This window comes from Homo sapiens, chromosome 2, assembly GCF_000001405.40.
Source record: "Homo sapiens chromosome 2, GRCh38.p14 Primary Assembly".
Lineage (NCBI taxonomy): Eukaryota > Metazoa > Chordata > Mammalia > Primates > Hominidae > Homo > Homo sapiens.
Window position 1 is genome coordinate 10,640,387 of NC_000002.12, and position 16,950 is coordinate 10,657,336.

Consider the following 16,950-nt stretch of genomic DNA (forward strand, 5'->3'; position numbering starts at 1 on the left):
AGGTAGGTCAGAAAGGAACACTGAAGTCCAAGTTTCAGCATAATGCTTCGCTTAGCAAAAGCAACTTCTGCTCACACTGTCCCCATATGCAGCTCACCTAGGAGAGGGCTCTCTGGATGTTTTTTTCACAGCTTTCTGTTAAATCTCAGGTAGAAAGTTGAAACTAAAAAGGTCTTATAAGATAAGCTAACATTTGTCAAGAAGGCAATTTCTCATCACCTGGCTATCATCCAGCCCCTCACACTTCATACTTCATACTTCTTCTCATCACCAGCCCCTCATACTCATGCTAATTAAAGTCACCATTACTTGGAACAAAAACGCCCACCCTAAGAAACTGATCCAGAGAATCAGAAGTAAACAATGGGTCTCTTACAGTTCTAAGATAATAGACATGTCATAAACCAGCCAATGACATATAATAGAGGCAACTAAAAATGTTTTAGGTAATTGCAGTACCTTAGAATTAATATTTCCAAGGTTAACTGAAGAAACCAGGAACCAATTTGTATATAAAATACAACTTTGGGGCTCATGCCTGTAATCCCAGCACTTTGGGAGGCTGAGGCGGTGGATCACTTGAGGCTAGGAGTTCAAGACCAGTCTGGCCAATATGGTGAAACCCCATCTCTACTAAAAACACAAAAATTAGGGCCAGGTGCGGTGGCTCATGCCTGTAATCCCAGCACTTCAGGAGGCCGAGGCAGGTGGATCACATGAGGTCAGGAGTTTGAGATCAGCCTGACCAACATGGTGAAACCCCATCTCTACTAAAAATACAAAAATACAAAAAAAAAAAAAAAAAAATTAGCTGGGTGTGGTGGCACATGCCTGTAATCCCAGCTCCTCAGGAGGCTGAGGCAGAAGAATTGCTTGAATCTGGGAGGTGGAGGCTGCAGTGAGCCGAGATTGTGCCACTGCACTCCAGCCTGGGCAACAAAAACTCCGTCTCAAAAAAAAACATTAAAGCTTAAAAAAAAAAAATACAACTTCCCACACATAACATCACAAATATAACTAAAAAACAATACATCCAAATATTAATGGTAGTTATAGTATTATCAAGAGGGAATAGCTGGTTTTTATTTTCATGTACTTTGTAACCCACTTAGAATAAATAGGAATACGCATACATTGTTTGCATGAACAAAAAAGCTGTTTTGCTTTCTTTAAAAGATCATTTTATAAAATGCAGAAAATACCAAAGGGAAAATAATGTTTAATATTCTCCTGCCTCTTCCTGGACTCAGAATGACATAGTTATCTGCACATTTGCCCAAGCAAAAACCGGGGTGTCATCCTTGGTCCTTTCCTATTCCTTACTTCCCACACTCATCAATTTCAAGTCTCTTACAACCATAACAACCCTTTCAATTCTATGCCCATGGCCACCATCCTCACACAGGCTTGTAAGGTGGCCTCACTGCAACCATCTTCAGGACTGCCCCTCCCCACCTCTCCATAACGCGGCTCTCCAGCCCACATCTCCTCCTCTACTAGGCAGACCTCCCGAAGCAGCACTCCACACTGAGAGTGCTTTTCACCTGCCCACTAGTTGATTCTATCTACTTTTGACATGCAGAAGGGATCTAAGATCCAAGGCATGGACAGGCACTTGCTGTCCATGTTGCTGTAGTGATCAAAATACAATAAGCACTTCTAAGAGGAAGATGAAAGAGACCTTTCTCATGATGAAAAGGTTAGGGGCAAGCTGATTTATTCTGCCTCTCCTGACAATGTTCCCCAAAGGGGCACAAACTGGGAGAAAACTACGTAACGCTGGTCTGAGGGCAGCATTCTTGTGATCTATACAGCTCTCTATCAATGAACACCTCTGAGACATGCCACCAGGCAATTCAAGGATGAATCGTCTGCAAGTACTGCCTACCAGATTAGACTTCTCTCACATTATCCCAGAACCCCAAAGAGCCACAACTACTAGAAAGGGAGCCTGGCACAGGTAATGCAGGTGCCATCATCTCTCCTGTGGGCTGCCACAGCCTGTGCTTGTTGCGTCCAGATTAGAGCCTGTTTAATGCATTCCCCTGCGGCAGCAAAAGTAATCTTTTCAGAACACAGGTCTGATCCTATCCCCCCGCTTACAACTCTTGTCAGGACTCCCTGCCCTACATCCCCACAGCCGGCTCACAAGACCCCTCCTAACCTGGCTTTCTACCTGCCCCCACAGGCTCGAATGCTCAGCCATGGGAGGTACTTGCTCCCGCAGCTCTGCACCCACTCTACTGTCAAGATCCGATCTACTGTCCAACCTGGGAAAGTCGACTGAAAAGGAAAAAAAAACCCTTCTCCCACTGGGCACCTCACTCCACCCCACCCCTTCACCCAGTCGACGCAGCTATCCTTCGGTCCCTCCTTCAAAGTCTCTCCCTCTGGGAAGTATTCCCTGAGTGCCAACCACACTTCTCATCAGCTCCTGGGCCCTCAGTGGGTACAGGGTCTCTCCTACGTGCTCCCACCACAGTACCCTGGTAGCACTCCTCACACTGAATGGCAACTGCCTACTTTCTTGTTGGATTCCCAACAGTAACTCCTCAAAGAGAAGGGCAGCACCCTGGATGCTGTAATACTGCCAGCATACAGCATCGTTCCCAACACACAGTTGATGTAGTCCATAATATTTATTAACAAGTGAATACAAGGAAAGATGGATAAGTTGACAGGAATATGAATGCAGTATCTGCAAGAGTCCAGGGGAAAAGGAACAAATGGTAACTTAGGAAAACCAAAATGCTTCCTGTTTGAACGGCCTTCATTTCACTACCAACCAAACGAAATATCTCTAAGTGCTTTCAACAACACGTCAGTATCCCGAAACCACAGAGTCAACAGCAAGCAGCATGCTTTTTTTATGTGTGAAAATACATAACTGAGCAATTTTAAAAGGACTATCATAGACAGGAATAATTTTCATACCTGCAAGATGATAGTGGTTACAGAGAGTTCACCTCCCTCAGATTCTGATCTTCAGTACCCCTCACTCTACTCTCTTCTCAAATCTCAGGTAAGGGAGATGTCTGCTGAGTATAAAGTAATCTAATGCCAACTTTATACTATGTGTTTTTCTGCTTATGAAATCGTATTTCCTTGCTTCATTTTTTACTATAAACTTAAAGGGAAGGGTGGGAGCTTCTGGCTATTTAAGAGAAGAATTATTTAAGGAGGGAAAAAAAGGTTTTTTTGGCAAACTACATGTCATCCCTGATCAGGATGATCTATGATAATTTATATATGTAACTTATTTTTAAAAGAAACAAACTATAGTGAGATGACTTGAAGAGTAATAGACTTTTCAGAATTAGACCTCCGGATCACTAACAGCTGAAAGTTTAAGATTCTGAAATACTTGGAAACAAAAAATAAATGTAAATCAGAAGAATAAATACTAATTTATAATGTCTGTTTTAACATGATATTAAACAGTTCCCATAAAAGAATGTTTGAGCATGAATTGACTGGCTCCAGAAAGCAAATTCAACCCAAAAGTGAGTCCACTGTGTCTAATGTACACAGCCACATGTAGACCCAGGTTCCTCAATACATCCAATTTAAAAAGTATCTTTGGCCGGGAGTGGTGGCTCACACCTGTAATCCCAGCACTTTGGGAGGCCCAGGCAGGAGGATCACTTGAGGTCATGAGTTCAAGACCACCCCAGCCAACATGGCAAAACCCCGTCTCTACCAAAAATACAAAAATTAGCCAGGTGTGGTAGCGTACACCTGTAATCCCAGCTACAGGAGGTTGAGGTAGGAGAATCACTTGAACCCAGGAGGCAGAGGTTGCAGTGGGCTGAGGCTGCACCACTGCACCCCAGCATCGGTGATCGCCAGACTCCGTCTCAAAAAATTAAATAAATAATAAAAAGTATCTTTGCTTGTCCTATTTTTACTGAAACTCCTCTTTGTATTACTTACTGGAATGTAATAGATGCCCATCTTGGGGGTTTCATTGGCCGTCAGAAGCATGCCTAAAAATAAATACAATGAAAAAGGTCAATGCATAGGAAAAAGAAAGTACCCTTTTCTATTTGCTTTCCATTCTGAAATGCCTGAGGAACTTCTGTTAGTCAGTGAACCAAAGTATAGTATTTCCCACAAAATGTCACAGCAAATTCCTAACTTTTACAAAACAAATTCGAATTTTCCAGAACAAATTTGCTTTGCTTTTGCAAAGCAAATTCCTAACTTTTACAAAACTGACTGCAAAACAAAATGTCTACATTTTGTTATCATCTACACCAGAAAGTCCTAGAGGGACTCTAACAGCCCTGACTACAGCACAGTCACTCCCTCACAGGGAATTATAACAGACTGAACCAACAGGGTGGTTAATAATTGAGTCTCCTTGGGATCAGCATATAAGAAAGCAAAACTGAAGAAAGAGATAACTTTCCGGCATTCAATAAAGGATTCTCTATAACCCCAGGAGCAACCTATAAGTACATTATTATTTGGTACTAAACTACTTAGTATCAAAGTATTCAAATATCTCGGTTTTGTTCCCTTTTCTCTGCCATTTTTGCAACATACTCCTTCCCCACAAGTGTTCTGAAGCAGCTCCAACATGGCAATATGCAAACATCAAAACTCCTCAGATCCCCTGCTCTGGACCACTGCACTTTAAATAAAACTGAAACCAGCAAGCCTTTGACCAGTCCTTCATAATCATCTAGGCACTTTCACATATACTATCTTAGTGAACATACAACAACCCTCTCAAAGAAGATGTATCATCAGCCCTATTTTACTGATCAGAAAATAAAGCTCAGAGGGACTGATGCCCCAGTCGTGAGAGAATGTTAAAGCTAAAGTCAAACTCAAGAGCGCCTGCTTTTAAATAAAGACTTCTACAGATCAGCTAAATAAGAATTCATTTTAAAAATCTATTTGTAAGATACAAGAGGAATCCACAGAGAGAAGACATTTAGATTATCAGATCACATAATGATAAATGAATATACCAAATGTTAAGGGCAATGATTAGATTCTGTTTTTAAAAATATTTTTTGCTGCCTTTCCTTTTATTAACACAAAAGTTTGTAAAAGTGATGATATTTGACTCTATTACAGAAATGAGATGCTGAGTGAATAGAGTCAATTACCACTCAAGCAGGAACTCAATACTATCTTTTTTTTTTTTTTTTTTGAGACAAGAGTCTTGCTCTGTTGCCCAGGCTGGAGTGCAGTGGCGTGGTCTCGGCTCACTGCAAGCTCCACCTCCTGGGTTCACGTCATTCTCCTGCCTCAGCCTCCCGAGTAGCTGGGACTACAGGCGCCCACCACGCCTGGCTAATTTTTTGTATTTTTAGTGGAGGGGGGTTTCACCATGTTAGCCAGGACAGTCTCAATCTCCTGACCTCATGATCCGCCCGCCTCGGCCTCCCAACATGCTGGGATTACAGGCATGAGCCACCGCATCTGGCCTCGATACTATCTTACCAAAACCACGTCTTGCCAATAACTCAGAAGTGTGAGCTAGCCCTGAACTGGGACCAACAGGTCACCAAAAATATATGCACACAAAACACACACACACACATACACACACACACACACACACACACCCCGTAAAAACATCTAAAAGCACCTAATGAAGTCTAAAAAAGCAAGAATAATGTCTAAATTAAACCAAAACAAAGTCAGAGCTGTTTTTCATAGCTTGTAACTCTTGTAGAATCTTTCATCTTAGCACTTTTTCTGGCCTTCCAAACAACGTTCACCGAGGTCATGATGGACAGAAACTGCCTCTGCTGATTGTGCTTCCTAGGTCTCCACTAACAACACTGCTGAAAGATCTCCAGGAGCCTTTGGACATAATTAAAGCAGTTCTGGAGACAGAAGCCACATCTTCACAACCAAAAGGAAGGTTCCTAATAAAGACCTCTCCTAAGCCTTCTCCACTGGCTCAACCCTGAACACTCAACAATGAACATTCCACAATGAAATACAACACCACCTACCAAACAAACCACGGAAAGGGCTCTAATGTAATTACACAAAAAAATTCAGACTGGACACAGCTAGACTGTTTTCTAAAAATGGAGGAGGATCTCACACAACCACATACGGCTAATGATACAAGCAGGTCTACTACCAAACTCAAGTGAGGAGGGTCAGGGCTGAAAGCAATTATGAATGAGAAAAAGAACATCATAGAGCCCAAAGAGTATGAGCAGCTTCTAACAGGCAGAAACAGAAAAATAAACCTGTGAAAGAAAGCCTTAGTTCAGCAGAAATTAAGATGATCAAGGCAGGAGAAGAGAAGAGCATGAGCATCGCGCCAGGCAAGTCACATTCTCAGCAAGTTACCTCCCTTGCTCAGGGCCACCACATAGCTAGTAAGTAGAGCCACTGACAGTCTACCAATTCCAAGGCTCATAACATGGGACTCTGACACTTCATCAACTAAGGTAAAATTAAAAGACCTCCTGCATGATCAAGTAAGAAACCATTTTAAAAAAGTCAGTATGAATACCACATGGCAACGTGAAAGATGTGTTTAATATAACATCAAACTGAAAAGCAAAAGATAACCGTAAGTACAGTGTGAGGACAACTTAAAACATATGAACACAGAATTAATATGGTTTCACCCATGAAGACAGTAATAGTACGTGACAGTACGTGTAAAGAGATTATGGCATTGAGGACTTTTTTCCTTTAAATTTATTTTAATGTAGTTTATCCACAATAAAACTATACATTTTTAAAGGAAGGAAAAGATATCAGCACCTGGAGTCAAAAGAACACATTTCCAATATGACCCAGTACACTATAGTGTATAGTACGCTGTAATAATACAATAAAAGAGAATTTGACAAAATAGTGCCCTCCCCAGAAACATGCACAAATCAGTACTCATCTGCATGTGCTCTGGGGACTAAAGGACTCACTGAAGTTCACAACACAAACACAGTGCTCTACAGCTGCTCAAAGTGTGTCCCCAGTGACAGACTGCAAACTGTTACCAGGCCAGGAAATAAGTGCAGAAATTGAAAAGAAGCATTTAGAAACCTGCAATTCAACACTGCAGTGACAACCAAATGTGTGATCATTTTCCTAGTAATTCATTTGTATTGTCTTTTACAGACGTATCAACGTGCAGTGGATTAGAAAATTCGAAACAAAACAAAAAACCAAAATCCTGGTCCTTCACCACACGTGTTGGGAAGTGCTGCGCAAAAACATATGGCATCAGTCACCACCTTGAACAGCTCAGAGGAGACAGGCTGTGCACGCAGAACTGTGCCAAAGGGGACTGGCAGGGGCGCTCCTGCCCTATTTAGAACCTCAGATGAAAGTATGGGGCATTTGAGTTTACTATACAAGGCACCAAAGATATTTATAGATGGCTCTAACAGTTTTCCATGTATTTAGAAGGCACTGACGGAATAAAAGGCTATTTCACACTTATCAGTACAGGTAGTCTTCAACAGCCCTGTAAGGCAGGTGAGAATTCCGAGGTTGGGTAATTTCTACCACTATTAAGCCTGAATTGGATCTTTCTTGAGCCCAGTGCCCCTGTTCTTTTCTCTCTACCATGGTTCTGAAACCACCGATGCTGATTCCACAGGTCTGGAGTGGGACTCAAGACACACGTAAGCTTTACAAGCTCCCCGTGTCATGAATCTGATGCACACCCAAGTCATAGAGCCGTGCTGTCTCTTCAAGTGCCCTGACCGGCATGGAGCAGCTGCTCACTGTACAGGTGGCTGATGAGCCATAGGAGCAGGGCCCTGAACAAGGCAGGAAGGCAGAACCATTTCCCAATATACTGAGCAGCCTTGGTATAAGAAAAATATTACAAAACCATAATCATGATTATGCTTCAATTACTCCAAAATGAGTAAGTGAAAAGAAAAAAGAAAGACAGTTTCAGCTTTTCTAAACTATGATTAAGCCCACAATGATTAAGCACCAGACACAAAGAGTTGAACGGGAGGAAAAGGTGTGGGAAAGCAAGGAAAAGCGGAGTGCAATCATCCGCCACACTCAGATCCAAGCCACAAAGAAGGGGCGCCTACGGGTCTTGTTCTGCCTGCTCTCTTATGAAATAAATTATTTGGCTAGCTTTTCTACTCTTGATTAACCTCTTACGAGTTATTAGATAGTAACAGTCATTCCTTTGTCCAAAACATCATGCTTAAAGTTGCTGGTTTGCAAGAAACTGTACTTTGTAATGACGACATCACTTAACAATGGGATCAACCTTACCCCTCTCCAATACTGCAACGACCTGGAGACCTCAGCAGCCTGCACATTACTCTTGCCCCAAATTTAATCTAAACTTAATTAAGTCTTTAGACTTAACTTCTATTTTAGAAAAAATACACGGTAGAGGATCAAGTTAAACAACATCACGAGAAAAAAAAATCACATAAATCGAGGATGAAGGATATTCTGAGACCACTGGCCTGATCTTTGAAAAGTCAACGTCATGGAGAAGAAAAGAAAAAGATGTGGGGGACTATACTGGATTGAAAGAAACTAAAGATACACAACAGCGAAATGTAACACACAACCTCAGTTATATCCTGGTTCAAAAAAACACAAAAAACAAACAAAAAAACCACACCTAACTAAAAAAGGGCATATGGGGAACAATTAGGAAAACCTGAAAATGGACTGGATGTAAGATAATATTAGAAAAGGGCTGCCATTTTTATTAGGCACAATAAGGGACCTAATAATTTCAATGATTTTCAGGAGATCAATGCCACCCTGGGTGCAGGTGAGTGCCACCATGTCTGCAGCTGGCTTTCGAGTGATTCCACAAAGAAACCACAACAACCACAGAAGCACAGAGATAAATAAATCAATTATGGTGAAGACAACAATAACAAACATTGAGGAGAGAATATAAAGATGTTCATTCTACCAGTTTTTCAACTTTTCTGTATGTTTGAATTTTTTTTTTTTTTTTTTTTTTTTTTTGAGACAGAGTCTTGCTCTGTCGCCCAGGCTGGAGAGCAGTGGCATGATCTCGGCTCACTGCAACCTCCGCCTCCTGGTTTCAAGCAATTCTCCCGCCTCAGCCTCCTGAGTAGCTGGGATTACAGGCACCTGCCACCACGCTCAGCTAAGTTTGTATTTTTGGTAGAGACAGGGTTTCACCATGTTGGCCAGGCTAGTCTCGAACTCCTGACCTCAAGTGATCTGCATGCCTCGGCCTCCCAAAGTACTAGGACTACAGGCATGAGACACTGCGCCTGGCCTGAAATTCTTCATAATTAAATACTGTGGATAAAGTGACCATTTTTGTTTATATTAGTAATATGGACCAGGGGTCAGCAAACTGTCTCTGTAAAGGGCCAGGCAGTACACACTTCAGGCTCTGCAGCCCCCCTGGTCACTGTTAAAACTACTCACCTCTGCCACAGTGCTGCAAAAGCCACATGGACAATGTATAAACGAACAAGGGTGGCTGTGTTCACATAAAACTTTATGCTGAAAGACACTGAAATCTGAATTTCAGTCACAAAAATTTGAATTTCCATGTCATAAAATATTACTCTTCTTAGATTTTTTTTTCCAACCATTTAAAAATGTAAAACCCATTCTTAACTCAAAGGCTGCAAATTACCAAGTGGTGGACTGGATTTGGCCTATAGGTCAGTTTGCCAAATAGACTTTTTAAAATGCTACTCATTAAGAATGTTTTCTGACCAAATTGTCAAACATTTCTTCATAAATATTACTTTAATAAGTAACTATTAAAATCACTGTGCTATAAATGCTTCTACAATTAAAATGTTAGCAAGATAATTTTTTTTTTTAGGTCTTGCTTTGTCACCCAGGCAAGAGTACAGTTAGTTTCAAGATCACAGCTCACTATAAACTCAAACTCCTGGGCTCAAGCGATCCTCCTGCTTCAGCCCTTAGAGTATCTGGGACTACAGGCGCACAGTGCCACTGCTTCCTGCTAATTTTTTTTATTTTTAGTAGAGACAGAGTCTTGCTGTGTTGACAAGGCTGGTCTTGAACTCCTGGCCTCAAGTGATCCTCCTGCCTCAGGATTATAGGCATGATGGGATTACAGGCGTGAGCCACTGCACTAGGCCACAACAATCTTCATTAAATAAGTGTTTTGGGCGTTTTTCCCAGAGAGAAACACTTTTAAATTTCATTTAAAAGCATGCTTATTTTTACAATTTTTATGCCATTTTAAATGACAAATCATTTAAATTTTTATCGTGAGGCCAGGGGAGAGCCGGCGTGATGGTGCGTATCTGTAGCCTCAGCTACTCAGGAGGCCTAGGCAGGATCGCTCGAGCCCAGGGGTTCAAGGCTGCAGTGAGCTATAATTGTGCCACTACACTCTAGCTTAGGTGACAATGTGAAACCCTGTCTCTGAAAAAATAAATAAATACAGACCAGGCGAAAAAATAAAATCAGCATTCCAGAGATGCGTAGTTGAATTATCAGCACCCTCTCAATCCATTTTAAGTCTCTTCCTCAGCAGTCACCTGGGTAACAACATGCACTGCTAACATCAGCCTCCCTCCTCTCCTTGTCCTTGTGATTCCAACCACTGTCGTCAGTGGTGGCATTTCAAGAATGGGTTCCTCAACAGTCTGAGCCTGAGTATTTCTCAGAAAGAGGCTTCTTTGCCAAGTAGTCACACCCTTTGTGGGTTAAGAGATCTTTACAGCCATTAAAGGTGGGGGAAGAGATGCACAAAAACTGACCTGAGAAATCAAGTTGCCCACAAGAGTCCACCCTCCAGCCCTGCCTCCTGGAGAAGCTGTTTAGGCACACAGCCTGCGGGGGCCAACAGATTGGCACTCATTTCAGCAGGTGTCTCTTTGGGCTTCTATATCCTTGGTTACAATGGAAAAACTGAGGCAGCCTACCAGGCTCAACAATCCCCGCTACACTGGGCCAGGCACAAGCACTACTAAACCTTACCAGCATCCTCAAGGGTTGAAGCTCTCCCAGTTTAGACCAGCACTGTCCAATGGAAAGAGCATGTGAACCACATATGTGATTTTAAAATTTTTAGTAGCCACATTTTTAAAAATGGTAAAATTAATTTTAATATATTTTACTAATCCAACAGGTCTAAAATATTTTCATTTCAACATGTAATTAATAGAAAATTATTAATGATCTATTTTACATCCTTTTTTCGTAGAATGTCTTTTAAATCCAATGTATATTTTATACTCACAGTACATGTCAATGCCCACGAGTGGCTAGTGGCTACCAAACTGTACAGCCCAAGGTAAGACTCTTTCTCTCCCAACTCTCTGTGCCCTTCAAACTGTCACTCCCCCAGTCGCACTATCCCTGCTCGTCACCCTTGCCCCAACCTCAGCTCCACCTGATTTACTCACTTACCTACTTAACCGAGACCCTGGTGTAGGTCATTTCAATACCCTAACTAGGACCCAGCATCCTCAGCTGCAATCTATTCCTGAACTCACCAGAATTTCACTTTACTCCCATGATTATAATAAAATTCTCTCAACTATTACAGATGAAATGCAAATTATAAAGTCCAGGGTTTCTCATCTTTCTTGGGAGAGCAGTGTGCAATTAGAAACAGCATGGGCAGCTGGGCGCAGTGGCTCACGCCTGTAATCCCAGCACTTAGGGAGGCTGAGGCGGGCAGATCACGAGGTCAGGAGTTCGAGACCAGCCTGACCAACATGGTGAAACCCTGTCTCTACTAAAAATACAAATATTAGCCGGGCGTGGTGGCGGGCACCTGTAATCCCAGCTACTCAGGAGGCTGAGGCAGGAGAATCGCTTGAATCCGGGAGGGGGAGGTTGAAGTGAGCTGAGATTGCGCCACTGCACTCCAGCCTGGGGGACAGAGGGAGACTCTGTCTCAAAAAAAAAAAAGAAAAAAAAGAAAAAAGAAAAAACAGCATGGGCACCAGAAACAGGAAGGCTGGGTTCTAAATGAGGCTCTGCCACACACCAGCTGGGTGACCAACCCTGAATGAATTACCCAATTTTTCTGACCCCTTAAGAGGTAAGAAAAAAACAGAAAGAAAGAAAAAAGAAAAAAAAAAGCCATGGACCACTGACTACACAGTTATAAAATATTAAATAAGTTTGTATTACAGCATCCATCATCCAGATTGATAACAGCAGCATGCAATCAATCTTAGTTCTTTCCTTCCTGCCCCAACTTCTGTAATCCTTAGTAGTTGCTAAGCAGTGCCCACTGAATCTCTTCCATACTTCAAAAACCGTGGGGCCTGGCACTGTCGTTCTGTCCATTCCCATCCGGTTTCTCAGCTGGCTCCTCCCCCTCATTCTCCCAAATGAACCAGCTCCTGCTCACTTCTTATCTCACTCCCAGCTTTCCCTATCAGTAATCTCATTCATTCCCACCACTTCTGGGATAATCGCAAAACTTTCTATCTACAGACCTGCTTACCCCAAGACCACATTTTCTACTGGACGCCAGACACGCCCCCCAAGCACAAGTCTGCGGATCGGTTCAGGGCTTGCCGCCTAAGAATCCACCGGGAAGTGTGTTAAAAACACACGTTTCTGGCCAGGCGCGGCGGCTCACATCTGTAATCTCAGCATTTTGGGAAGTGGAGGCAGGCGGATCACTTGAGGTCAGGAGTTTAAGACCAGCCTGGCCAACATGGCGGAACCCCGTTTCTACTAAAAATACAAAAATCAGCCAGGCGTGGTGGTGCGTGCCTGTAGTCCCATCTACTCAGGAGGCTGAGGCATGAGAATCGCTTGAACCCAGGAGAAGAGGTTGCAATGAGCAGAGATTGTGCCACTGCGCTCCAGCCTGGGTGACAGAGCGAGACTCCAACTCAAAAAAAAAAAAAAAACCACACATTTCTAAGCCCTTTCCATAGACACTATGAGTGAGTACACCTAGTATAAGGTCAAGGGAGCTGTACCTTTAAAGCTGTGCAGATGATTTTGATGGGAAGCCAGATAGTGCCAGATACTGCCACTGTCCTGTCACCTCCTAATCCTCACACGTTAGAAAAAGAAGCCATAATCTTTCCAAACTTGCTCTCTCACCTGTGCTCCCCATCTCAGCTCAGAATATCAGTTACTTCCAAGGCACTTTTGTCCAAAACCAATCTACCCTTTGCACAGTGGGTAGACCTGCCTCTGAAAGCACAGTCGGAACAAGTCCTCTCTGACAGCACACGGAGCCCAAGACATTTAGCACATCATGCCCAACCCTCTACCACCCACCACTCTCTGCCTCCCACTTCAGCCTTCCCAGAGCCACCACAGCTCAGGCACAGGACACTCCTCCCCACCCCAACCGAGCCCTCTGTGCCCATCCTTTTTGGTCATCTTGGACTGCTCTCCCATGAGAATCACCTCAGCCCCCCAACTCCACCTAACCAAATCTCACTCGGCACTCCAGCTCAACGCAAAGCAAAATCTTCTCACTGCTCCGCTCTCGGTGGTCACAGGGTAAAAGCTCTCTCTCTCCAGCAAGCTGTCAAAGTACTCTTTGCACAAATGTGATAGGAGTTCTCACGCTCTGCCTTACTTCTCTCTATCAAGATGATCTGGGTACCTCTGCCCTCAGAGTAGAAACTATTCTCATTTTTCTCCCATACTCTGAAATTCTTCACAGATTTGCCTTGAATGCACTGTTAAATTTTGAAACCTAACATGTAAATTGCTGAATAGCATACAACTTAGAATTTACAAAACCTATGGCTTCATGAGCCATCTGTGTATTATCAGGCAATCTAGCTTTCTCCAAATCTCTACCCTCAATTTCCACACACTATTACTAATCACATAAAAGAGCTAAAGAGCACACTAAAATAGCACTTCACCTGCCTCCTACCTGTATGCTGTTACCACGTTCCACTAATAGCTGGGCGGGCTGAGCACTGAGTCATTAAGAGTGCCATTTTCTGAATCATCCACACCACTTCCTGCTCTTAATTCTTCTAAGTAAGTTAAATATCCAAGAATTGTGCTGACAAAGCCAAATTCTATCTTAAGAAATAAAATGGGTTTAAAACCTAAAAAAGTATAGCCTTTTTATTTGTCTCACTGAACGTTCACTACAGAATGCATCTTTTTATTTGTCTCACTGAACGTTCACTACAGAATGCATACCTGAGTTGGGGTAGAGACAAACATCATTAAGGTCATGCTCTGGCTCCAAGGAAGTAAATATTTTTCCCTAAAAATAGCAAGCAAAAACGAAGTATTAAAAGTTAAAGAACAACAACTTTGGCAATGTCAAACTGAAGCTGTAACTCAACCATCTACTCCTATGTAAAGAAATAAAATAGCCTACTTCAAATACAAAATTTAAATTCTTAAAAATCTTAGAGAATTTATCTTATCAATTTATCAAAAAATCCCATTTTATAGATGAAGAAACAGGCCTAAGGAGAAGAAGTGACCTGTCCAAAAAAAAGAAAAATTACAACATTTTAAAGATAATGTCAACATGGCAAGAAAAGATGAAGTTTGAATTATGCATCAACTTTAAAAAAAAATCTCTCATAATCTGTGAAGTGTACCCAGCTTAACTTGTATTGAAAGAAATCGGAAGACAGCTGGGAGCAGTGGCTCACACCTGTAATACCAGCACTTTGGGAGGCTGAGGCGTGGAGATGACTTGAGGTCAGGAGTTTAAGACCAGCCTGACCAACATGGTGAAACTCCGACTCTACTAAAAACACAAAAATTAGCCGGGCATCGTGGCCTGCAACTGTAATCCCAGCTACTAGGGAGGCTGAGGCAAAACTGCTTGAACCCAGGAGGCGGAGGTTATAGTCAGCCAAGATAGCACCACTGCACTCCAGCCTGGGGCGACAGAGTGAGATTCTGCCCAAAAAAAAAAAGAAAGAAAGGAAGAAAAGAAAGGAAGGAAGGAAGAAAGGAAAGAAAAGAAGGGAAAGAAGGGAAGAAAAGAAAAAGGAAAGGAAAGGAAAGGAAAAAAGAAAAGAAAACAAACCAATCAGAGGAGAGAGATGGCCAGCATGGAAAATGAGGACAACACTGCCATGCCTGCACCGCAAGGTTTCGAGGAGGATCAAGTGAGACAATGGATATGAAATACAAAATGAAATCCTACAAATACTTAAGTGTTAGTTACTATGTAGTTAGGGCTAAACCATTTCTATTTTAACTGTTGGGGAAAAGTGTTTTATCTTTTAAAAATTAAGAGAAGGAAAGTAAAAGAAAAAGATGCTAAGAAGGTGGGTGTGGAAAAAGGTGATGAGAAAGATAAACAAGGTAAGCAAGTCAGGCAAAACCAAGTAACGTGGGTGTTAGTCAAGAGGAAGTCTTTAGTCATAAGAAACAAAAAAAATGCCAAAATAAAATTTACTGTAGCAATTACAGTGTGATGATTTCAAGAAGTGATGTTGAAAATTTCTGCCAGCTCTTGCATTTGTAACTCATTATGCAAAGTCTGACACTAGGATGGACTAAGTGCCCACGGCGAAAAAGAGCAGTGTTAGAGCACAGACAAGATGGTTTGTGTCCGATGAAGAACACGGCCAAGTCCTAACCCAAGACTAACAGTGAAATTCACACAGCTACCTGCTGTTCTTCTCAAGTTCCCACTGAAAGAGGAAGGAAAAGAGGGGAAACCAGGAAGCAAAGGGAAAGGAATTATAATGGCACGGAACAACAATGACAAAAAGGTGTCAAAGGTGATAATAATCCACATGATGGAAACTATGCAGAAGTTAAAGGGTCTGGAAAGATACATCCAGATTGCTAACAGTCTTTCCCTTTGGTTGGATGAAAGCCAGGTCAAGGATAAATAACTTCTACTTTACCAGTGTTTTATGAATTTTTAAGAATAAAAACATATGCATTTGTAGTATTAAAAATAAATATTGTTTTAACATCAATTAGTTTGAATTGCCAGAAAAAGAGCAGAGAAAGTTCTGGTCTAAGATCATGAATCTTCCTTAAAAAAGCCCTCAAAATCCTTCAAACTCAAAGCCAACAAAGCAGACAGCATAGACACTTCCTGGGCAATCATCAGGGCAATTCTTCCAAGAATTTAGAAAGACTGAAAGCCTGTCTTTTCTTTATGTTCTTCTCTGTAACATAAACAAAGTCACCAGAACCTATGAATTAGGTGAGGGCCTCAGGGATGTAGAACACAGCTCTGGTCTCCAGGACAGATCCAGAGAAAAAAGGAAAAGAAGCCAAGTAAGACCCATACTTCAGGAATTAACAAAATGAAATTTAAAAAACCAAAGTAACAGCCCAGAAAGCCAGAGACTCAACAGGCAGCTGAACTGTGAGGGGCTGTCTGCAGCGTGTGTGCCTGGGCACAGGCAGCCCCCACGGAATAGACGGGCACTTGCGCTTAGGCACGAACTGCTCAGGCTGGTGGGCCGTCCACCCGACTTCATCACAAATGGGAATTTTTTAAAAGTGATCTGTTTTTAAACTAAAAATGCTAAGTTTCTAATGAATTAAATGCAAAGAACTCTTAAAAACATAGCTATACTGAATGCATTTTTCCCATTTATTTGATCAACTCTTTACTATTCTCTCAAAATACTTAGGTTTTAAAATGAAAAATGAAAAGCAGAAGACAGATTAAAACCAGCAATATAGGATTTTGTTACATTTCAAATGACATTTAGAGCTGAGGAGAAGGACCATCAAAATATTCTTAAGAAATATAGCTTTTAAGGCCAGGTGAGGTGGCTCACGCCTGTAATCCCAGCACTTCAGGAGGTCGAGGCAGGCGGATCATTTGAGGCCAGGAGTTCAAGACCAGACTGGCCAACATGATGAAACCCCATCGCTACTAAAAATACAAAAATTAGCTGGGCATGGTGACATGCACCTGTAATCACAGCTACTCTGAGGCTAAGGCACGAGAATTGCTTGAAACTGGGAGGCGGAGGTTACAGTGAGCTGAGATCATGGCACTGCACTCCAGCCTGGGCGACAGAGCAAACTCTCTCAAAAAAAAAAAATCAAATAGGA

At 42.1% G+C, this 16,950-nt stretch overlaps 1 protein-coding gene across 14 annotated transcripts in view, besides 1 other annotated feature; it reads right to left on the reverse strand.

Moving 5' to 3' along the window:
* The window catches only part of NOL10 (nucleolar protein 10), a 119,222-nt gene that overhangs the window by 69,633 nt on the left and 32,639 nt on the right, over positions 1-16,950 (reverse strand). For 9 of the 14 annotated variants that reach the window (NR_048552.2, XR_007082254.1, XR_001738958.2 and 6 more), the window contains 2 exons: positions 14,095-14,161; positions 3,934-3,986 (listed from right to left, as the gene is read on the reverse strand). Coding sequence is in view for 10 of the 14 variants with exons in the window: in NM_001261392.2 (NP_001248321.1) it covers positions 3,934-3,986; positions 14,095-14,161 (120 nt within the window). In the remaining 4 variants the exon portion in view is untranslated. The remainder of the gene's footprint in view (positions 1-3,933; positions 3,987-14,094; positions 14,162-16,950) is intronic. The other 5 variants (XR_007082293.1, XM_047445899.1, XM_047445897.1 and 2 more) reach the window with 1 other exon arrangement.
* Positions 13,570-14,769: an enhancer, noted in NCBI's record as "P300/CBP strongly-dependent group 1 enhancer chr2:10794082-10795281 (GRCh37/hg19 assembly coordinates)". NCBI's record gives its function as "activates an origin of replication core promoter dependent on BRD2, BRD4, P300/CBP, MED14 and CDK7 cofactors, with strong dependence on P300/CBP, by STARR-seq in HCT116 cells {active_cell/tissue: HCT116}" and the evidence as "EXISTENCE:reporter gene assay evidence [ECO:0000049][PMID:35650434]".